The 25,452-nt window shown below is 37.6% G+C and overlaps 1 protein-coding gene and 1 pseudogene across 5 annotated transcripts in view; both read right to left on the bottom strand.

The window, feature by feature from the left end:
• The window catches only part of PRKG1 (protein kinase cGMP-dependent 1), a 1,307,463-nt gene that overhangs the window by 964,116 nt on the left and 317,895 nt on the right, over window positions 1–25,452 (bottom strand). The gene's annotated exons all lie outside the window — the stretch shown is intronic.
• Window positions 13,590–14,387, bottom strand: RSU1P3 (Ras suppressor protein 1 pseudogene 3; annotated as a pseudogene).

Raw genomic sequence — 25,452 nt, 5'->3', positions numbered from 1 at the left:
CAAAGATGGTCAATGCATGTGTGTTTGTATGTGTGTGTGAGTGAGAGAGAGAGAGAGAGAGAGAGAGAGAGAGAGAGAGAGAAAGAGAGAGAGAAAGAAAGGAAGGGCAGTGGACTCCTATTACAAGCCAATAAAACCAGCATGGGAAGAAGACCAGAGGCAAGAGATGAGACATAAATGGCCTTATTAAAGAGTTTCGGCATTATCATAAATGCTGTCTGAATCAATTAAAAGAACAGCGACACAATTGGTGTGTTTGAAAAATAACTCTGGGTGCAATTTGTTAAAAATGAATTTAAGCAGGGCAAAAATGAAGCTGAGAGACTAGTTATGGAGCTGTTACTATGATGCAGGTACAAAGTGAAGAGAACAAGAATAAGGTGATTAAGGTTAAAGCAAAGGATCAATAGAGAAAGGTATGTTGAAGGACCACCTGATAGAACTGGCTTGGATTTTCTGTCTTCCATCTGTAGCATCTCTAATACCTGTCAGTGAAAGCATGAAAAATCATGTTCACTGATGTATTTGAGGAACATGGAAGCTGCCTTGCACTTCAGTACTATTACCTTTAGAAACCCAGAAAAAATATTTGAAATAATTTTATACAAACATTTTGGATAAACAGGGAAAATGGATGGGCATTTATGATGGGTGAGCACCTCGCTATGTTCTACACAGTCAACATGTGCTAAGCTTTTTTCTCTCCACAGTCAGAAGACCAGAGCAGTTAGAAATTATGCGAGTTTGAATCTCAGGTTTACCATTTTCCTACTGGGTGACTTCAGGCAACTCACTTAACCACCATGTACCTTAGTAAAACTGAGGGTGATAACAGTATCTTCCTCATAGTTATATTGTAGAGACTACTAAGTTAATTCATAAAGTGCTTGAAACAGTGCCTGGCACATAGTAAGCACTAACATGAGCTAAGTTTACTATCTTCACAACAATTAAGATAACCAATACTGAAGGTTGAATTAGATAGCCAGTGTCACACATTGAGTAGATAACTAGGCTGAGATTTGAGTTTACATTATCTTCAAAACCCAAGCTATTTCTGCTTCAGCCATGGGCATGAACACTGAGTAGACTTATACCAGCTTCTTTAAGAGATGGCTTTGAGAAAGTAGTTAAAAATGTCATATCTTCAGTTAAGACCATGATGTCCACCCACCGTTTTGTGGCTTGTGGCAAGTTATGTAAACTGCCTGAACCTCAGTATCCTCATCTTCAAGATGAGATAATAATTGTACCTACTTCATAGAGCTGTTAGGAGGTTAAAGGAGATAGCACTCTCTGCTCTAGTTAGCACTGAATAAATGTTGACTATTACTGATCCCTGTTCTACTCTACAGTGATGGGGAAATCAGAGAGACCAACAGAAGGCTGCCTGGGTCACTCAGAACTTAGGTCTGTTTCCACAGGGCACAAGGAGAGTAGTCCTTCATGTTTTCCCAAATCGTGGTTCCTTCTAGGCAAAGATGCCAATGGTTGAGGCCAGTGAGATGGTATGAAAAAGTAACTATACTAATCGATTCAGTGAACAGTAGGTCAACAGAAGCCAGAAACTAACTCTCTCCCTCTCCATAAGAGTTTCCCTACAGTCACTGGGTTAACATCATCTTCATTTTCTTTAATACTACCTAACCTTGTGACTTTTTATCTTTACATACATAGATTTTCCCTCTAACCCAACTGCCCATTGAATAGCTCATAGTTTTACCTAAATTTTGGCCCTTGAAATATATTCAACACTGCTAAACTAAATTTTACTAAAAAGTTATAAAAAGCTGATCTTTTTCACCTTCCTCAGTGTGATTTTTTTAGGTGGAGGGGAGTAGAAAATTTGAATTGGTCACAATTGAGGTCCGGTACCAAGTTCTATAAGGAATAGCATGGCCCATTTTCCTCCCTGAAATTATGAACACCACTGCATGCACTTTCTGACATGGAACTCCTGTGAATTTCATTAGGACCTCATTCTACCTACAAATAATGTTTTCAGTGTTATGTCTTCCCTGTAAAAATAAACATTTTCAAAGCATTTCAAAACTGGTCTAAGGAAGAGAAAAATCATTTCAAAAATCTTCAAAAGCATACCAGACATTTCTCCATATTTTTTAAAGGGATTTGATGGATATCTATCCATTTTGATGAGGTAAGTCTTTCCCTTCATTAAGATTTCATGTCAAAAGAATGTTTACCAAAGAAATATTTAGTTGAGGGCATGACTGTATTTATGAGAGTACCTTGTTCAGAATGGGTGTTCAGTAAATATTTGTGGGTGATTATAATCACAATTAATGATAACCATGACCTTTTTGTTGCTCCCCTTCAGGATTATTCTTCAAAAACACCCATTAAGCCACATGACAACTTAAAGGCCTACTAAAACCAGCTGACATAAGAAATAGTTCTTATTCATTTTAACAAAACCATAGATTAGGGGGCAGAGAAAGATGATGGAGTGGAACTCTCCAGTGATCATACTTGCCCCAGGAGAAGCATTGATTTGCACATATATCCATGCATGAAAATATGTTCACAAAAGCTAAGGAACCCAGGTAAGAGGTCACGGTATGTAGTTGCAGCACAATAATAAGAAAAGACACATTGATGATGATAGAAAGGCAATTTTGCATTACTCACATCATCCCTCCCCCAACCTCAGGTTGCACAGCTAAGCATGGAGAGAAATGCCATCTACTTGGAGAAAAGAGAGGAAAGTGAGCACAGGACTTTGCCTTGGACCCCAACACTGGGTCTGCCACAGTAAAACCCAGCTGGACAGAAACCCCCAGACCTGTATTTCAGGCTGGTACTCACAGACTGAGCCTCTAGAACACTCTGGCACCAGATGAGACCACGAAGCTCCAAGTTTCACACTTGCTTGGTGAACCCAGTCTCCAGCTTGCACCACCATGGGACTTACTTCAACAGCTCTGGGCTCTGGACATCCCTCAGCAGCAGGCAGTCCTGGCCGCAGTGGCCTCTGGCTTCTAGTATGCCCTAATTCCATGCCAGGTACCTCTGACCGATGTTTCTAGCTTGTTCCAGTACTGGGTGGGCTGTAGTGGTCCCAAGGATTCTGGAAGCACCATCTGCCAAGGGCTTCTGCCACCCCAGCACCATGCCTACGACAGAGAGCCACAGGCTTTTTGAATGAAGCACCATGCTAGCCACATCTGTCCTGGCCTTCTGAACTACCCCAGGACTGCAACTGCTGTGGCACACCTGAGACTATGAGGAGCACCGTGCCACCCACAGCTGCCCCAGCTTCTGATACACCTCAGTGCTGTACCTGCCACAGGGCTTTTCCTAACAAAGCCAGTCTTCAAAGACTGGAATAAATACCTAATTCCTCAAATATGCAGACACAAGGATCAAGAACTATTGGGGAAATATCATATCACTAAACAAACATAATTGCTTGAAAAAGATTCAAAATAGTTCTTTTAAGAAGGCTCAGCAAACTCCAAGAAAATATAAAGAAACAATTCACCAAATGAAGAAATCAATGTGACCAGAATGATAAATTTAATACAGGATTTGAAAAAAGTCAAACAGAAATCTTGGAAGAAAACAATACAAAATGAAAAAATGCAATAGAGGTCATTGACAGTAGAAAAGATCATGCAGAAGAAACAATCTGTGAAACTGAAAACATACAGTCAGAAATACATGGAAATATACAGTCAGATGAGAAAAAATACGAAAAGTAAAGAAATTCTTGTAATATTTCTAGCTTACAAGATGTATGGAACAGCATCAAAAGAGAGAACGTGGCCGGGTGTGGTGGCTCACGCCTGTAATCCCAGCACTTTGGGAGGTCAAGGCAGGTGAATCACCTGAGGTCAGGAGATCAAGACCAGCCTGGCCAACATGGTGAAACCCCATCTCTACTAAAAATACAAAAATTAGCCAGGCATGGTTGCGCATGCCTGCAATCCCAGCTACTCGGGAGGCTGAGGCAGGAGAATCACTTGAACTCAGGAGGTGGAGGTTGCAGTGAGCTGAGATTGCAACACTGCACTCCAGCCTGAGCAACAGAGTGAGACTCCATCTCAAAAAAAAAAAATAAATAAAAAATAAATAAATAAATAAATAAATAAATAAATAAATAAATAAAAGAGCAAATGTACAAGTCATGGGAGTTAAATAAGGAAAAGAGAAAGATAAAGGGGTTAGAACATTTATTTTAAAAAAACAGTTGCAGAAAACTTTCTCAATCTGGAGAATGATGTAAGTATCTAAGTACAAGGCCAAAAGTCTCCAATCATATCTAATCCAAAAAAAAAAAAAAAGATTTCCCTAAGACATAGTACAATCAAACTCAAAAATCAAAGCCAAAGAGAAGAGCCTGAAAGCAGCAAGAGAAATGAAGCAAATAACTTATAAAAAATTATAATACAGCTAGCAGAAGACTTCGCAGCAAAAATCTTACAGGCCAGGAGAGAGTGGGATGGCATACTTAAATTGTTAAAACTAACAAACAAACAAACAAAAAAACAAAAAACAAGGAACCCAGCTAAGAATACTGTAGCCAGCAAAGCTGTCCTTCAGAAATGAAGGAGAATTAAAGACATTTTCAGAAAAACAAAAGTTGAGGGGGTTCATTACCACCTACTTCATTACAAAAAGTGCTAGACAGAATTCTTTAAGCTGAAAGCACAAAAGCTAGTGAGTATCACAAAAACTCTGAAAGTATAAAACCCGCTGGTAAAAATAAGTACACAGTTAAATTCACAATACTCTAATACTGTAATGGTATTTGTAAATTACTTATGTCTTTTGTATGACAAAACAGACACATAGACCAATGGAACAGAAGAGACAGGGCAGAAATAAATCTCCACATTTACAGCCAACTGATTTATGACAAAGGCACCAAGAGTATATAAGGGCAAAGGGGCGTTCTCTTCAATAAATGGTGCAGGGGAAACTGAATATCCACATGTAGAAGAATGAAATTAGACCCTTATCTCACATCATATACAAAAATAAACTAAAAATGATTTAAATACTTAAATGTAAAGCCAAAAACTATAAAACTATTAGAAGAAAACCTAGGGAAAAGGTTCCATGACATTGGCCTGGGCAATGAATTTTTGGATATGACACCAAAGGCAATGGCAACAAAATCAAAAATAGACAAATTACATCAAAATAAAAAGCATCTACATAGCAAAGAAATAATCAACAGTGTGAAGAGGCAATCTACAGAATGGGAGAAAATATTTGCAAACTATGCCTAAAATATGTAAGAAACTAAGACAATTTAATAGCAAGAGTACAAGTAACTCCATTAAAAATGGGCAACGCCTGTTCCCCAAAAACCTTCTGAAATAAAAAACAAATAAAAAAATAAAATGTACCTAATATCTCCCCAAAATAGGCAAAGATCCTGAATAGACATTTCTCAAAATAAGACAAACAAATGGCCAACAGGTATATTAAAAAATGCTCAACATCACTAATCATCAGAGAAATGCAAATTAAAATTCCAGTGTGGTATCACTTCACACTTGTTAGAATGGCTATGATCAAAAAGACAAAAGATAACAAGTATCACCGAAGATGTGGAGAAAAGGAAATCCTGGTGTACTTTGGTGTGAATGTAAATTAATACAGCCATTATGAAAAACAGTATAAAGTTTCTTCAAAAAGTTAAAAATAGAAGTACCATATAATCCATCAATGCCAATGTATATACACTTATATACCAATATACACCAACACTAGGTATATATCCAAAGGAAATAAAATTAGTATATTGAAGAGATATTTGCACTTCCGTGTTCATTGCAGCACTATTCACAATAGCCAAGCTATGGAATCAACCGAAGTGTCCATCAGTGGATGAATGGATACAGAAAATGTCACAAACATGTACAATGGAATACTATTCAACCTTCTAAAAAGAAGGAAATCTTGTCACTTGAGACAACATGGATGAACCTACAAGACATCACGTTAAGTGAAATAAGCCAGGCACAGAAAGAAATTTATTGCATGATCTCACTTATATGTAGAATCTAAAAAACTTATCTCACAAAAGTAAAAAGTAGAATGGTGGCTACCAGGGGCTGGAGTGGGGAGGGATTTTGGAAGCGGTTGAGAAGATATTGGTCGAAGGATACAAAATTTCAGTAATGTAGGAGGAATAAGGTCAAGAAATCTATTGTATAACCTCATGACTATGGTTAATAATATTCCCGTGTTCTTGAAAAATGCTAATAGATATAAAGTGTTCTCACCACAAAAATGGTAACTACCTGTGGTAATGCATATGGTAATTAGCTAGACTTAGTCATTCCACAATGTATATATACTTCAAACTATCATTTTTTGCATGGTAAATACAGTCATGTGCCACATAATGATATTTCGGTCAGTGATGAATCATATATATGATGGTGATCTCAATTAGATTGTAATACTGTGTTTCTACTGTGTCTTTCTATGTTTAGACATATTTATATACTCAGATACTTATCATTGTGTTAAAATGGCCTAAAATATTCAGTAGAGTAACACACTGTACAGGTTTGTAGCCTCAAAGCAATAGGCTGTATTGCATACCTTAGGTGTGTAGTAGGTTATAGCATCCAGGCTTTTGTAAATATACTCTATGATGTCTGCACAATAAAATTACCTAACAATGCATTTCTTTGAACATATCTCTGACCTTAAGTGACACATGTCTGTACGTGCAATTTTATCTGTTAATTCTTTAATTTTTTAAAAACATTTTTAAAAAAGAAAAGAGAAACACATTTTTTGCTATCTTGTTTTAGTTTACTTTTTTTTTTTTTTTTGAGATTGAGTCTCACTCTGTAGCCCAGACTGGAGTACAGTGGTGCGATCCTGGCTCACTGAGACCTCTGCCTCCCGAGTTCAAGCAATCCTCCTATCTCAGGCTCCCGAGTAGCTGGGATTACAACTGCACACCACCAGGACTGGCTAACTTTTTCGTATTTTCAGTAGAGACAGGGTTTCTTCATGTTGGCCAGGCTGCTCATGAACTCCTGATCTCAAATGATCCACCCACCTCGACCTCCCAAAGTGCTGGGATTACAGGCGTGAGCCACCATGCCCAGCCTTATTTTACTTTTCTTTAACCTGACAATTAACCACTGATGTTACTTTTTGGGAGCTAGGTTATATATTTTTTAGGTTCTTGATTAAATGGTAAATATTCCAGAAGACACATATGCAGTATACATGCTGACTTGATTAATTTTTTGTAACACCTCAGGGTAGAGATACTATTTTCATGATCAACACAATAAATAAGAGACAAATACCTTTGTTTGCAAGAAAACAGTTTCCCAAGCATAATGTGATTACATAAGTTTTACTATTTCTTAGCTTCTATGCACTAATTCTAACCTAATGAAAAAAGTCAAGATTTTTATTCTATGTTGAAGAAGATATTTAAGTTACTGTATTCAGCACTTAAATAATCTGTGTCCCAAAGGGAAAACACTGGGAAAGCTATTCTTTAAAATCACATGACAGTCAGTGAGCTGAGGCTTGTATTTATGATAAAGAAATCGTTATGTTGAAAGTAACTTTGTTTTTACTCTAGCCAATCTCTTCTTGCCCATACATCAAGAAAGAAAATTAGCTATTTTTTAAAGGCAAAGCTAGCAAACTTAAAATGCATCTTGTATATTCTCTGGAGTAATTACTTGGGTATTTTATCCATTAATTTGATAATTTGCAGGATATTAATGAAAAAAGAATTTACTACAGAATTGATGTCATTATGTCCCAGAAACTTATTTACTCCTATCATCATAATTTTCAGAAATATGTGTCTGGAGCAATTTAAATAGCCATAGGAATGCCAGACCTTATATCCAGACCCATGCTGATAAACCTATAACTCCGTTATCTCAAAAGTGCTGTCACTTGAAAAATTTGCAAGTTGACTTGAAAACTGAAATGAGGTCAGTAGTTGCATTTAAACTTCTTCCAGTCTTCCTAACTAATTTAAAGTATGAATAGTAAATTAAATTGGGAACTTGCAAACTATTACATTTCAGATAGGTATCTAAGTTCTTTAATAGAAACACATAATCATAAGTCTATTCAACTGCTTCAGGTCTAGTGTTATTAGGCAATCCAAAGGACTTAGGTTAATGCTACAAACACCTAGTGCAAAAGTGGGAAACTCTTGACATGTGACACAAGATGAGACAGATGAGCAGCTTTCTAAGGTTGCTTGGCACCTCATCAAAGTCAGTACTCAGAAAACAGTATCCTCTCCCTCTCTTTTCTAAAACCAAAAAGGAGACCCCTTTCTCCTTGGCTCAGGCTGGTGCATGTCTCCCAGCAGGTTTCAGCACAGATGGAATGCAGTAGAATGGTTGGAGCTGAGACTGGGCCCCTGAGGAGGTTGCTGTCAGGCCAACACTGGGGGACCAGGTCTTGTTGGCTCAGAGAGGCTTGCGTCTCCCAGCAAGTCCCTGCACAGTCAGGAAAGAAACTATAAAACTACTAGAAGAAAATATTGGAGAAACGTTATAGGACATTGGCCTGGGTCAAGATTTTTTGGGTAAGACCTACAAAGCACAAGCAACAAAAGCAAATATAGGAAAATGGAATTACAATGGGCTAAAAAGCTTCTGCATAGCAAATGAAACAACAAAGCGAAGAGAAAACCTACAGTATCGAAGAATATATTTGTAAACTATCCATCTGACAAGGGATACACTGAAAAACTTGAAGAGCCAGGCACGGTGGCTAACGCCTGTAATCCCAACACTTTGGGAGAATGAGGCAGGCGTTTCACTTGAGGTCAGGAGTTCGAGACCAGCCTGGCCAACATGGTGAAACTGCGTCTCTACTAAAAATACAAAGATTGCTTGAACCCAGGAGGCAGAGGTTGCAGTGAGCTGAGATCACACCATTGTACTCCAGCCTGGGTGACAGAGCGAGACTCTGTCTCAAAACAAAACAAAACAAACTCAAACAATTCAATCACTTCAAAAAAATCATTATCATCAAATTTAAAAGTGGGTAAAAGACCTGAATAGATATTTCTGGAAAAAAGAGCTACAAATGGCAAACAGGTGTATTTCAAAAAATGCTCAAAATCACTAATTATTAGGGAAATGCAAATTAAAACCACAAACAGATATCATCTCACCCTAGTTCGAATGGCTATAAAAAGAGAAAGGATAACAAGTACTGGAGAGGATGTAAAGAAAGGGGTTCTCTTTTATGCTGTTGGTGGGAGTGTAAATTAGTACAGCTATTACAGAAAACATTATGGCGATTCCTCAAAAGCCTAAAAAGAGAACTACTACATGATCTGGCTATCTCACTGCTGAAAGGAAATCAGTACATGAACGTGATATCTGCACTCCCATGTTTACTGCAGCATTATTCACAATAGTCAAGATATGGAAGCAACATAAGTGTCTATCAGTGGACACATGCATAAAGAAAATGTTAGATATATACACAATGGAATCTTTTTTTTTGAGACGGAGTCTCGCTCAGTCGCCCAGGCTGGAGTGCAGTGGCGCGATCTCGGCTCACTGCAAGCTCCGCCTCCCAGGTTCACGCCATTGTCCTGCCTCAGCCTCCCGAGTAGCTGGGATTACAGGCGCCCGCCACCACGCCCGGCTATTTTTTTTTTTTTTTTTTTTTGTATTTTTAGTAGAGACGGGGTTTCATCGTGTTAGACAGGATGGTCTTGATCTCCTGACCTGATAATCTGCCTGCCTCGGCCTGGCGTGAGCCACCGCGCCCGGCCCACAATGGAACCTTAATGGGCTATAACAAAGGATAAAATCTTGTCGTTTGCAGCAATGTAGATGGAACTGGAGGTCACTGTGTTAAGTGAAATAAGCACAGCACAGAAAGACAAACATCACATGTTTCCTTTCACACGTGGGAGCTAAAAAGGTGGATCTCATGTTGGTTGAAAGTAGAATGGTGGTTACTAGAGGCCTGGAAGGAAAGGAAGGATGGGGAATGAAGAACAGTTGGTTAATGGGTACAAAAATAAAGAGAGAGAAGCTATCAGTTCTAGTGTTCAATAGTATAGTATTTTATAGTTATACAGTTAATAATAATTTGTTGTATATTTCAAAATAGCTAGAAGAATTGTAATATTCCCAACACAAAGAAAAAATAAATGTTTGAGGAGATGGATATCCCAATTACTCTGATGTAATCATTCCACATTGTAGACATGTATCAAAGTATCACATGCATCCCAAAGATATGTACTACTATGGCATATAAATTATTTTATTTTATTTTTAGAGACAGGGACTTGCTTTGTCACCCAGACTGGAGTTCAGCGATGTGCTTATAACTCACTGTAGCCTCAAACTCCTGGGCTCAAGCAATCTTCTGCATCAGCCTCCTGAGTAGCTGGGACTACAGGCACGTGCCACCATGCCCAGCTAACTAAAACAATTTTCTTTGTAAAGACAAGGTCTCTAGACCCATCTTAGCTTCAAGTGACCCTCCTGCCTTGGCTTCCCAAAGTGCTGGGATTACAGGTGGAAGCCACTGTGTCCAGCCTGACATATCAATTTAGAAAAAAGAAAAAGAGCATCCTTCTCCAGGTATTGTGAACTTCTTGTAGAATGCAGAAATATATAAGATTTTAATTCTTATTATTATAACAACCAACCTAATACTCATGAAGGTCTTACTATGTGTATGACACAGTGCTAACTGCATTAATCTATTGCAGTTATTACTTCCATTTTGCAGATGGGAAAAATGAGGTTTAGGGGAGTTAAATAACTTGTTCTTGATTACTCAGCTGGAAATTATTAGAGTCTGAATATAGGTCATCTAATTCTGGAGCTTACACTTTTATCCAATATTGAACTATTTAATAACTAAATAAGTCTAGTGCTATTTGAAACAAAAACAACTTCTTGCCTTGATTTTTGTAATCTAGGCTAATTTTTCCACGATGAAGAGATAAAAAGGTAATTATTTCATATAATTTTTGAGGAAACAAATTACTGTGCTATGCATAAATATATCATATCGTAGCAATATTTTATTCGCTAATAGTATGCTCACAAAAACTTTTTCAGGTTTGAGTTCCACCTCTGTCAATTAGTGTCTTTGTGAAAATGGAAGTGGCTTATTTTTCTTCATTTTGTTGTTAACATCACTGAGCATCTATTTTTCCATATGTAAATGAATCTAACAAATGAATATAATGACAATATAAATGTCTACTATTTAGTTTCCATAGGGATTAAATGAGATAATGTAGATAAAGTACTTAGGTCAGTGCCCAGCATATTGTAACTGCTCAATAAATGCTTTCAAATAATTTAAAAATTGAACATTAAAATAACAGTAATAATATTCTGTAGTTAGGAAGATTATAAAGAAAAGTCAACCTTAGTGTGCATGAGCTTTTGAGGGTAGAAAGGTATCCTTTAAGAAAATTACATTTAATGTGGTTGACAATGCAAGCTAGTAGTGCTGTATCTAATTTGATTGACCTTAGTTTTTAAAAGAGCTCATCTAAATAAGGGTCTTTCTGTAAAACCTCAGGAGATCCAATTTTTAAAATACTATATTCTATTAAATCAGATGATGGATATCTAAGACAGCACACTTCTTGGCACATAGGCCTCAGAAAATGCTAGAACGTATGCTAGTGAAAGTGTAGTTATTGATTCTATTGCTATTACTATTATCTCGTTCTGTCTGTATCTGTATTTTCTCTGCTTCTCTGAGGCACTAAAACGAGAGCCTCACAATTGCCCAGGGAAGCAAGTCCTTGGACTTGGAAAGGCTGCAGAATCAATTTCAGGGTCAGACAGTTTTGTTTGATTTTTACAATCTAGAGACGGGTCTCATGTCAAACTGCAGAAAGAAACACATTCCAGATTTACACAAGGGTTAGAGAAAGACTGACTGATTGCATTTGCTCAAGTTGACTCTCAGGATGAGAGATGCACTTTTTTATATTTTTTTAAACATTGATGCCAAACCTTCTTTTAGTAACGTAGAAAAGCACAGCTGTCACTGGCCTCAGGACTGACAAGCAAAATGCAGAGATTCCCTTTTTCCAGCTGAGATCATCTCCAGATAAGAATTACTCAACTGGGAATGGGAAGGTGGAAATTGCACAATCCTGAACTGTCGAATATGGTGGCTTCACATAGCAATTGAGAACTTGAAAGGAGGTTAATCTAATTGAGACGTGCTATAAATGCAAAATATACACTGGATGACAAAGACTGTGTGAGAAACAGAATTTAATGTGATGCAAGATTTCCTAAGACTTACCATCTGTGGTTTACTAGCATTTATTTTTTTAATTTTTAATTTTTGAGGGTACATAATAAGTGTATATATCTATGGGTCACATGAGATATTTTGATCCAGGCATGCAATGCATAATAATCACATCAGGGTAAGTAGGGTGTCCATCACCTCAAGCGTTTATCTTTTGTGTTTCAAGCAATCCAAATATACTCTTTTAGTCATTTTAAAATGAACAATTACATTAATTTTTACTATAGTCACCCTGTTGTGCTAGCAAATACTAGGTCTTATTTATTCTTTCTAACTATTTTTCGTACCCATTAACCATCCCCCCGCTACTACCCTTCCCAGCCTCTGGTAACCATTCTTCTACTCTCTATCTCCATGAGTTCAACTGCTTTTAATTTTTAGTTCTCACAGATAAGTGAGAACATGTGATGTTTGTCTTTCCGTGCCTGGCTTATTTCACTTAACATAGGCTAGCATTTATACTGCATATTTTTAACTATAATATAATTAGGTTCTGCAGAGTCTAAAATGGGAAGTCATTTCATCTACTTTATAGATGAGAATAAGTATGGTTAATAGTTATTGTTTGCTTCTTATGTGCCATGTACTGTGCAAAGCATGTTTCATTCCTAATTTCATTTAATCTTGCTCTATTAAAAAGTTAGACGCTTAACTCCATTTTATAGATGAGCTAACTGAGTCTTGGAGGATTTAAGTAACGTGCTTAAGATTACACAGCTGAAGCCTAGTTATGTAAAGAGGTCAGTTTGGCTTCAAAGACCACACTAATACTAACTTATTTCTATGGTCTCCCATTGAATCATTTGTGGAAAAGCACTGAATTGCACCATATACACACAAAAAAAATTTAAACAAAATTTTTTTTTAATTCCTCTAAATCTCTGTGTGGTACAAGGATATCTCCTTGCAGATAAATAGTTCTTCTGAAGTATCTGACCTTATCTGCTTCCTAGAAAATGCAGTCAAGTTACAAATAAGGTGCAGTGTTTTCTTCTGTTACTGAATAAAACAATTTGGGTCAAATTGTACCTGAAGGTACTTAGAATCCAATTATACTTGATTCCTTGTTAAATCACTTATGCTAGTAACTGAACTTGTTAAAAGAGTAATTCCCAAGTATTTAAGGATAGAATGTTGAGTTATAAAATACATTTTGCCTTTTATTGTATGTCTTTATTTTTCACACGCACATTGCATTTATTTGAGAGACAGAGCAAGAAAGGACAGAAATGTTGGTGAGAGAAGAGGCCAGAGGCCCAGCCAATGCCCACCTCTTATTTGTTACTGTCTGTCAGGTGTTTCCAGCTCATCTTTTCTGATTTGTGATTATTATGTTTTGGTGGTTCTGGATTTGCCTGCATGTGCTGCCATAGAGGTACTCATATGTCTCAGAACAGACACATTCAGACACACAGGACACATCAAGCTGGAACTGGCCAGCAATTGGGGTAACCCAGGGGCTGTTCTCCACTTTGCATACCTTCTTCTGACCAGTTAAATATAAGTTTCCTAGTTCTGGGAGCAGAAGGGTCAGGCAGTTGCCCTGAATGTTGAGTTCCTTAAGCTGGGTAAACTCCCCAGTTTCCCTAGGCTGCAAGATCAGGTTGTTATCCCTAAAGCTGGGTATCTGCAACTTTGTGAGCTTCCTAATATCTGGTTGCAGGATTTTAAAATCATTGTCACTTACATAAGAGTGCACGGAAGGTAGTAAGGTAGATGAAGTTTCCAGGAAGAGAATTCTCATTCAAATTGTACATCAAGTCCAGAAGGTCAAGAGCTGGGTAGAAAGCAAAATCCTTCAGGCAAAGTATTTAGCCCATTCATGCCCAGGTTCATGTGTTTGAGTTTCTGAAGGCTGCCGATCTGTGTGGGCAGCTCCTCAATCTGGCTATTAAGGAAGTTGAGCACTTCCAAATTCTTCAGTTCTGCTGTGTTTGGTGGCACCACTGTGAGCTTGTTATGGCTGAGGACCAGTTGTATGGTATGGGATAAGGAAAATGTGCCATTGACATACAGCATGTTGTAGATGACCTAGTCACCCTGTCCACTTCCTGGCTCTCCACAAACTTTTTCAGAGTCTTGGACATGGTCGTGAAGAGCAGCACCTAACAGCGTGGGCATGGAATGACAGATTGCGGCAGGATGCACTTTTATTGTACTTCTCAAGCTGTTTACATGTATTTGCTAGAAGAGCAACCTTTCTTTTTGAACTTGGCCAAATGTATAAAGCCATGGTTATTTGAATACTTATTTTATGATAGCATAGTGATAAGGGAGATGGTCAACACATTTTGGTAGAAAGATGCCTGGGAGATAAATCCCTGACTGAAACTTGAACTGTATCCTCATCTGTATGGTACTTCTAAAAGACAGATATTGTCTAATAACTGAGAGTAAAGAATCTCCTTGCTGTTCACCAGTTTTATGTGCCTGAAGTAGTGACAATAAATTGACAGTAGTCCACAGAGCAGAAAGGAAGGGAAAACAGCAAACAAAGGTCACTACAAACCCAACAATAGCACAAAGCAGGCCAAAAATTGTTAACTAGGTCAAAGAATTATGTTCTTGGTTCCTTTCTTCTAGGGATCTATAAAATAGTTCAAATATGTTGTTTCACTTATCTGTACACTCTTTCCCTGGAGGAATAGAGCTTGGTAGAGCTTCCCATTCAGCAAGAGATAAAATGGAAGCAGAAAAGAGAGCACTGACTTGGCCCAAGTCCGTTAACTAGTTTGTAATAGCTGCTCAAAGCACTCAAAATCTCCTTCAAGGGAGTAAGTGGAGAACCCAGTGAATGCTGAGCTATCTAGGAAGCTTTCAAAGAAGAGAATTCAGAATTCACAGGAATGTGTAAGAAACCAATTTGAGACTGTATATTTTAACAAAATTGTCACAAATTTTCATGGTATATGCTTATAAAAAGAAATGGCAAGGATAATGCTATAGTTAGCCAGCAGTTATGCATGAAGTGTTATTACAGAAATTATTTAACTGTCATGGGAAATGTCCCGACTTAAGACAAAATGAAAGCAAATCAGCAATGTAGGACTTCTGTCAACAAAATGAAGGGAAGAAATTTAAGCTCAGATTCTAAGCAATTTATCAAGATAGCCTCTAATTTAAAATATGTCAAACTGAGCACAGAGAAGAACTTTCACAAAATACTCAAGAATTTCAGCTTATTTAAACATAATATACTCTAGCTTTCCTCCTCTGTTAAAGATTTTTATGAAAAAAATTCTTTCAATGAAAGTAATCTTTAAATCCCCCTGATCTGGTGTCTTGATTTCTTGTCCTTGGAATTTCCCTCTGCTTTCCCTACTCTGCATTCAGATGCCTGACAGTGTTGACTCCTTACCCGACTCCACCCCTTTATGTGATCCTCTTCAGTATTTCCACAGCACTGAAAGTCTTTACCATATACTTATACTTATTTATTCTTACATAATCTTAAAAACCTATCTATATTGAAAAATGTGTCATATAATGATACTAGTCAATACCATTTGAGTCCTTGTCAACAATTTGACACCATGCTGAATGTTTTACATGTACCATTTTATTTAATCTTCATGATAACCCATTGAAGTAGGCACATTTATCATCCTCATTTTACATCCCTAGAAAAGTAAAAGCTTACCAAATCCTTATGACATTTTATCTTTAGAAAGTGAGACTGGAAGAGGACCTTGACTGCCAGGCTAAGAAACATAAATTTCCATATTTTCACACATCAAGCAGATATCTACTGAATGCCTACCATGCCACAGTCTCTGAACAAAAGGCTGAGGACACATAAGTAAGTAGAGTGTAATTTCTGTCTCCAAAGAGTTCCCAGTCTAGTGGATAATTTGGCCAGGGAAACATAAAATTGCAATTATTGGATCAAATAAGCTACAATATAAAGTGTGTAGGAGGTACCACAGCACAGAGGATGAAAGGATTAACTCAGAGAAGGCTTTGCAGAAGATGTTTGGGCTGGCTTGTGGAATGGTTAGGAAAGAAGAAAAAGAATGGCAGGTACAAATGCCCATTACAGGAAAGACTGTGGTTAGAGAGGCTAAATCAGCTATGCTAGAGGAACAGATGGGACAGGTTTTGGAGACCCTGGCATAACCTGGCTAAATAATCCAGACTTTATTCTATAGGAAATAGAAGGCACTGATGGATTGTTAAGTAACAGGGAACTGCTGTTGAGAGCATGGTGACAGGAGTTGCAATGTTCAGAATAAACCCCAGGTTATCCTTGACTTTCTCTATGAGTTTCCCATTATTCATCTTCCTTGTCCTTGAAGTCTGGCCTGTCCTGGCCTCCCTATTACTCTGGGCTCTTTACACTTTTATTCTTTATGTTAGTTGCTTCTTTCCCTTTCAACTACTTTGAGATGTCACCAGTTTATTCTGTTTAGGATTCATTATGTGTATTTAATGTCATTTACACATAAGGAGAGCCAAGGGTGTTTGTGTGCGTGTTAGGAAGAATACAATGAACTAAGATGAATAAGACATAGCTCCTGTTATTTCAGTAAAATTGGGGGTTACTAATTTTAATCTTAAAATCAAATATTTGTGACTACTTTATATTTTTCTCACTTGAATACTAAATTAGTTTTGCCCACATGTGACTCTTGATTGACTTGTAAAATATCTATAGTATGTAGGTTGTAAGAGGGGAAAACACTCATAAAAACTAAACACGTAAACCATGTATATAAAAAATTCAGCAATAGTTGGGTGTATAGTTGGTGCTTAGAAAAAGTATAAATTGAATCTGAATCTAAAGTGCAGTTGGCTAGCAGAATTTCAGTCCCTGTGATACCTGCAGGACAGGTGTGAAGGGGAAAAAATAAAAGACCTTTCATACCCATTAAATTACATCTTGTAGGCAGATACCTACCAACTTACCTGACCATGGAGATCACCAGCTACTTGCAACTGGCCTGCAGATTGTGTGTGGGAAGATTTCTTGGCTATCATAAAAAGTCAAGAGTTCATTTTATGCACCCAGCTCAAAAAAAGTTTAACTATCCACTCATTTTTGTACAATATCTCAAGCCTCATTCAGAATAAAAAAGCCATGTCATGAGTTGGTGACTGCTGCTTGAAGTTTTCTGTAATAGGCCTTGAAAAGAAACTTTGAAATGTGGTAATATTTGAAACTAGAGTGTCCTAATTTTTAAGGCGTCCGTAATAATACCATTATCGCAATTCATTTTTGTCTTTTTATTTATTTATTTATTTATTTATTTTTTGAGACGGAGTCTTGCTCTTGTCGCCCAGGCTGGAATGCAATGGCATGATCTTAGCTCACTGCAACCTCCATCTCCCGGGTTCAAGCAACTCTCCTGCCTCAGCCTCCTGAGTAGCTGGGATTACAGGTGCCCGCCATCAGGCCTGGCTAATTTTTGTATTTTTAGTAGAGATGGTGTTTTACCATGTTGGCCAGGCTGGTCTTGAACTCCTGACCTAGTGATCTGCCTGCCTCTGCCTCCCAAAGTGCTGGAATTACAGGCGTGAGCCACTGCGCCCCGTCCCAACTTTGTCTTAAGAACAAAATATTCCTTACATGATTTAAGAACTCTTCATTCTATAAAGTAATAAAGCCACACATTCTTCAGTTTAATAATATAAATACAGTTTTCATTTGATTTATCATAATTATTTCTTTACTTTTTTCGTTCAACAATCAAAGTAGTATCTCATATATTAGCTCTGAGAGTCTCCATACAAACTTTACCCAAGGGGACATTTGAATAAAATTCTTAAAGAGAATCTCTCTTAGATTTTCTTGTGCCCATTCAAAATGAGATAAAATCAAAAGTTTGTTGAAAACAGAATGGTTATTTCTACTCCATCCTTCTGTTAGTCAGATTGTAATGGCTCTGGGAATGTTACTGGTTAGTATTTTCATTGATCCTGTTGTGATTAACCTCATCTATCCCTGACCTGGAGGAGAAACCCAATTATAGGAGATTTTGAAAGAACAAATATCAAATTAAATGTGATATAAACAGGCTACAAAACTCTGAGGATACAGATTAGATGCAGACAAATGAGTTATCCAAACAGGACCTACTCATCTCTACACATAATTTTATCACTTCTCCCTCTTGACTGAAATGCTCACTATATAATTGTGGAGCTTTCTCTCAAATCCCCGTGCATAACTATTCTGATATTTAATTCTTTCTAATATCACATATTTATGCAAAACCTCTAGGACAGTAGAAATATTGAAATTGGCCCACAACTGAATTATCTTTTCCATTTATTGGCTATGTGGTCTCAGGAAAGTTACTTAGATAATCCACGCTGTATTTTCCTACAGGATTGCTTATAAGGATTAAACCGGATAGTCAGTGCCTCGGCCAAATTCAAAATACACTAAGAACTCAATAAATGGCCCCTCTTACCAATAAAATTCCAGATTAGTATTCAAGATGTCCTACCTTCCCATAAAAATACTGTGATCACATATTCTCTTTCTTAAAGTTTCTTTATTATTTATAACTTTTACACTAAACTTGTTCAAAGCTGGATTTATTTTATTAGAACAACAAATGTCACCTGTTATATTTGCTTATTTGCACCCGTATATTCAGCATAACCAAAAACCTCTCACATGAGCAATTACAAAACTCATTACACTTCTAAAGTCAAGGCCATTAAATTTTTCAATACATTACAATTGTGACTTGCTGGAAGATCAGTGATGACTGTTTCTTTTTTTGTCTCATGTTATGAAATCTCAAGAAATCAATCAGTTTTTTTGATTACAAAAAGTTCCTTTATTTGGACACAATATTGAAATAACTTGTCAGAATGTTAAGAGCTCAATACTCATTTCTCCTAATTGCTTTGAATAGTAGTACACAGAATCTCATTACAAACTTTGTTCTCTACTGTAATGTAGTTTGAAAATCATATCCCAGCCAAGTTAATATTTGCTTGTTCAACTTTTACACTAATTACAGTTGTTTTGGAAAAATGGCATGAGTAGAAACCAACTCAAGGGCATAGATGTGAGACCAATGGAGACATACAGTTAGAATTGCAGAACTTGATGAGGGCCTGCTAGCTCTCTCATGTTGTAAACTTAAATGGCCTTTTCCGAGACAGTGTAACAATGCATATGAAAATTTCACAGAGTCCACAGATTCAGTCCTCATAAGAAAAGCCAATGGGCAGCTCAGAAACAGAATCTCATCTTTCATTTCTATCACTTGTTTTTCTTGGATGAATGTTTACTTCCTGTATGATGAATGTTCATAATTCTTCTTAGTTGTCAGTAGTTATCCAAGTTTCCTAAGCAATATACTTAGAAGATGGAAACCAAGGGAAGAGAGTTGAATATTGTAACTGAAACAGCTTGCAAAAGTGTTGATCTGATGTGTATTTCATCATCCACATAATTGTTACTGTACTGCTTAGTAATTAGCTGTGAATGACAAGTGGCTCATGTAAATGAGCATATTGCAACTATTACTAATATAGAAATCTTTTGTAAGACCTTAGAATTTACAAACTGTGTTCACATGCATGATCCCATTTAATTAATTTCACCTTTATCTTTTTTTTCCTGCCAACTCCAGCATTTCAGGAATCAGCTAGAGGAAAAACAGACAGCATGTGATCATATTACAGAGGGACTCTGCGATTCTCAGCATCTCTGAGGGATGTTTGTAGTTTAATAAATATTGAGGGAGATGTAAAACCTATGCCACCTGGTAAGCCCTGGCTGTACCATGACGTTGCTGTGTGACCTTGCACAACATTCTTAAGTACATAAATATGTACATACATGTACACAAATATATCTGTGTATTAAAGTTTCTGAATCAAAGTTTTCTTCATAAAAAGGTGAGGACCAGCCTGCCTCATGTCAAGAAAGATTAGACCTCATCATACTTCTTGTTTGTGTCCTTTACCAGTTGCTGCACAGACTGAATACAGTAGGCAGCTCTCATCCTGGAGTTCCACACCCATGGATTCATCCAAATGCAAATCAAAACTATTCAGAAAAATGTTTTCATGAAATTCCAAAAAGCAAAACTTGAATTTGCCGTGTGCCAAGTACTACACTGAATCCATGAGAATGAAGTGGTATGTAGGCCTTTTATTTGGTATTATAAGTAACCTAGAGATGATTTAAGGTATACAGGAGGACGTTTCTGGGTTATATGAAAATATTATGCTATTTTATTTAGAGAATTGAGCATCTGCAAATTTTGGTACCCGCTCTGGGTCCTGGAACCAATCCCCCTATGGATACCAAGGGACAACTGTATATATAGCAGGGCTACATACTACAAAAGTCAGAATCAAGAAGCATTTGTTTTATTTCTTTTCCATCTCAGTCTTTAACCTATAGGGAAGAGAACACTTCTTTCTCGTGCTGGAAGGTCCAAAGAAGTTACTCTGATTGTTCCTGGTTCATGCCTTTGAGAAATGAGGACAGATAATGAGGTCTAATCTTTCTTGACAAAGGGCAGGCTGGACTTTACCCTTTGCAGTAAAATTCATCCATAAAAACAAAGTGAAATAAGATAGAATAGACTCTGAATAGGAGAGGAGAGAGGGAAAAGGAAGGGTAGAACTGTATCTTACTCTTTACTCATCTAGAAAGGGGAATAGATGTATTGAAGCCAGAATCCAGTACGCTCACCTCTCTCTTATAGGGCCAATCTGACACAGATTTTCAGGTTATGGCCCCTCTTCCCAAACATTATTTAGGTTTAGACTTTGCCCAAGACTCCACAAATTAAAATTTAATCCAGAATATCAGTTACGAGGAAGAATGTCCTATATGACTCAAAAACAATCCCACATACACACACCCTACACACACACACACACACACACACTGCAACTTAATGGGAATTGTGTTTGTCTTTAAATATCTTTCTTTATCAATGTGGAATAATGATATCAGCCCATGTCACAAGATTATGACAAAACTAAACTGAGATAATGAAACATTACAATTACCAACTGCTAAAGGAATGCTGTTAGATAATATTGCCCATAAATTAAATGTCACCGTATGGCCTCCAGATTAGTCCCACAGTGAAAAATTTGGCAATATGTCCTACCAAAGAATAAGCTTTTACAGTGAGAATAAAATTGTGTACCCCACTACTTGGGGACTGGAAATAGTATATTTGTGAAGGTTCATTCATCAGCTATGAGTCTATAAATAAGTTTAGGTATATGTTTATATAAACACTGAAATACACACACACACACACACATATATCCATCTGAACATTCCCTATGTTTGTTTACTTATCTCTCTATGTCACTGTAATTTTACTATGGTCCTTCAGACATGTGCAGAACCAGCTGTTTCTATCATCCTTTCTCACCTACCCCTACCTCATTTGGCATGAAATGTTATACCTCATCTCAGAGTGCACATTAATCAGATTTATAGTCTTCATATAATGATCATTCCCACCCATTAGGACTTATGGGTCACCCTGACAGTGAGTTGACTGCCTCTCACTCTGGGGCTGTTTGTCATAGCGCAGTTTTCCTTAGAAGATGCAGTTCTGCCACAACTATTAACTCCTACACTATTGTAAAATAATGTTGAGTGAGAGTTTTGTAGTTTTCATTTTCCAGCTATTTTTCTGTTCCATCATAGATGCCAGTGAATGACCATATTCTAAGAAAGATAAGGGAATACCTAGAGCTAGGTCCTGAGCACAGGAGAATGGGTCCACTCAGGTTGTTGCAAAGAGACTTAGAAGATATCAGGAAGGGCTGGGAGCAGTGGTTCACACCTGTAATCCCAGCACTTTTGGAGGCCGAGGCGGGCAGATCACCTGAGGTCAGGAGTTCGAGACCAACCTGACCAACATGGAGAAAACCCATCTCTAACTAAAAATACAAAATTAGCCGGGTGTGGTGGCACATGCCTGTAATCCCAGCTACCAGGGAGGCTGAGGCAGGAGAATCACTTGAACCCGGGAGGCAGAGGTTGCGGTGAGCCAAGATCATGCCATTGCACTCCAACCTGGGTAACAAGAGTGAAACACCATCCCCCACGAAAAAAAAATAACAGAAAGAAGGCCTACAGGTGTGGTGCTTCCCCCAGGCCCTCCTTTCCATAGTATGTTTACTTTTCAGAAGAACCTCTGATGGAATCCAAGTGTTTAGCTACGGGAAGATGATCATCTTCTCCTTGTCTAATGACATGGAAATCAGAACAAGCCAACACAGATGGTGAAATAAAAAGATAAAGCAAATTTGGTTGGTTGAACCTACATTTTGCAATGCTACAGATTTATGAACACTTTTGGTTAAGCAGCCATTCACTGTGATTCATAGAGATCTAAGGTACCGGTCCTCAAATTCCATACTTCTGTCTTTCCCAAAGTGGGCCAGTGAATACTTCTTCACCTGTTATACACAAATGTCAATCAACTGCCAATGTTCTCCACGGACAAGTCAGTTAGTAATATGAGACAATGAATGAAAGAAACAGTTACACTAAACTGTTGCATGTAACTGAACACACCATCTAAGTGCCAGCAGGCATACTGAGGAAGTGACCTTATTCAGCAAATATTTTTTAAGAACTCATGACACTGAAGGATACAAAGATGGATATGAGACAAATTATGGTTTCTAGAAGCTTACAGTTGAGCACAGACAATCAAACTTGCACATAAATAATCACAAACCAAGGCAGTATGTAATAAACACCCTCATGAGAGATACACAATGGTTAAGAGCTAAAAAGAGGGAGGATCTTTTTAGTGTTCAAGTATTTTAAGAAAGGCTTCATGGAGGAGGTGCCTTTTGAACCTGACCCTGAGAAATGCTTACTGTGTGAAAAGTGCTGTACACACTCCTCATTCCCTTTTTCTGCACCCATAGTGACCTTTCCTCAGATGCATACTCTGCTTCTTCTGTTCCGAGATCTGCACAGGCTGGAAACAGCCTTCTTGACTCAACCTAACCTAACACCTATACCTCAGGGAAGCCATTTGTGACTCCAGAATGAAACCTGATCACCCTACTAGCATAGCAGTTTGCACCTGTCTTTCCCAGCACCAACCAAAATGTGCAACTTTGCATTCATTTGGGTGACCTTTTAATATTAAGAACTGCCTACCCACCTAGAGGGCAAGGTCCATAATGGGGGCACCTTGTCTCATTTGTTCAATGTTGTATCCTTACAACTAGCTGAAAGCACCCATAGAAGGCACTCAGTAACATTGGCCATATGTCTAAGTGACTGGCATGAGAAAAAAAGTATACAGAAAATAAACACTGAAGGCTAAACAGGAAATAGTTACATAGTAGCAAAAAAATAAAAAAATAAAAATATGGGTATAGTGAAAAGTCAGCCAAGTATAAGAGGCCACACTATTGAATGTGAATTTTTACTTATCCTTCCATGAACTCTTCCTGAATCTCACCAGCCAGGACACATTCCTCCTTCTAAGTACTTTCTGCGTTTGCTATGGAATGATTTCTGTTAACCTTGTTCTTCATTAAACTGTGTGAGGACAGAAAAACTTCTTATTCATGTCTATATCCTCCATAGCCCAGAGCACAATGTTCATAATAGGTTCTTTTTTAAAAAGTGTGTATTGAATTTCCTTTGCTCAATAGGACATGAAGATATTGGAGCAGGTGAGAGCTGTGTTCCAAGTGATACTGTAGGAAATTTTTGGGGGGTTTAAATTTAAGAAGTACAAGTATAATTTTGTTATATAGATATATTGTGTAGTGGTGAAGTCTGGCCTTATAGAGTAGCCATCACCTGAACAATGTACATTATACCCATTAGGTAATTTCTCAACATCTACCCCCAATTCTACTCCCTCACCTTTTAGTCTCCAATGCCTATTATTCTACACTCTATGCCCATGTGTACACATTATTTACTTCCTATGAATAAGTGAGAACGCACAGTATTTTTCTGTTTCTGAGTTGTTTCACTTAAGACAATGACCTCCAGTTCCATCCATGTAGTTGCAAAAGACACAATTTCATTCTTTTCTATGACTGAATAGTATTCCATTGTACATATGTATACCACATTTTCTTTATCCAATCATCTGTAGATGAACAGTTAGGTTGATTCCATATCTTTGCTATTATGAATAGTATTGCAATAAACATATGAATGCAGGTATCTTCTTGATATAACAATTTTTTTTTCCTTTGGGTAGATACCCAGTAGTGGTATTGCTGGTTTGAATGGTAGTTCTATTTGTAGTTATTTGAGAAATCTCCAAACTGTTTTCCATAGAGGTTGTTCTAACTTATATTCTCAATAATTGTGTATGAGTGTTCCATTTTCTCTGCATCCTCATCGACATCCGTTATTTCTTGTATTTTTAGTAATAGCCATCCTAACTGGTATAAGATGCTAACTCATTGTGGTTTTAATTTGCTCTTTTCTGATGATTAGTGATGTTAAGCATTTTTCATATGCTTGCTGACCATTTGTATATCTTCTTTTGAAAAATACATATTCATGTCCTTTGTCCACTTTTTAATGGGGTTATTTTTGTTGTTTTTGCTGTCACTGAGTTGTAGGAGTGCCTTGTAAATTCCGGATATTAGTTTTCTGTTGGATGCATAGTTTGCAAGTATTTTCTCCCATTCTGTAGGCTCTCTGTTCACTCTGTTGATTATTTAATCCAATAGGAGTTTATGAAAGAGACTGGGATTTGAAAGACACTTGTGTTGGTTACTAAGATATTGCCTCTTATCTCTAAACCCATCCTTCTGTTCTTTGTTTTCTGATGCAGACCTCATGGTTCAGCAGACTACATTTGTTGCACTTGACCAACTGGAAGACTGTTCATACCTGCCAGAAGAAGCCCTGGGGGAGGCAAGAAGGCAAGAGAGGGAGAAGGAACTTACCCCTTCCTGCTTGGCTGTCTTTTTGATTACATTACCCCAGGATTAGAACTTCACATGGGCAGCAGCAGTTGGTCCCACTTTCCAGCTTTCTCTACACTCCCAGAACAAGCCTCATCATACCGTCAGCACCAGCACCAGTTGGTGGTGCCCCCTCCTCAAAGGTCTCAGCTCCTTGCCAAAATTTGATAATACCACCTCCTCAGAAGACTGGGTTCCAGTTCAGTGAGGTCTCATCTGAGCTTGCCGGTCCTAAAACCCCACTTT

Source organism: Homo sapiens, chromosome 10, assembly GCF_000001405.40.
Source record: "Homo sapiens chromosome 10, GRCh38.p14 Primary Assembly".
Lineage (NCBI taxonomy): Eukaryota > Metazoa > Chordata > Mammalia > Primates > Hominidae > Homo > Homo sapiens.
The sequence above is the reverse complement of the archived record's forward strand: the minus strand, read 5'-3'. Positions and strand labels throughout refer to the sequence as shown.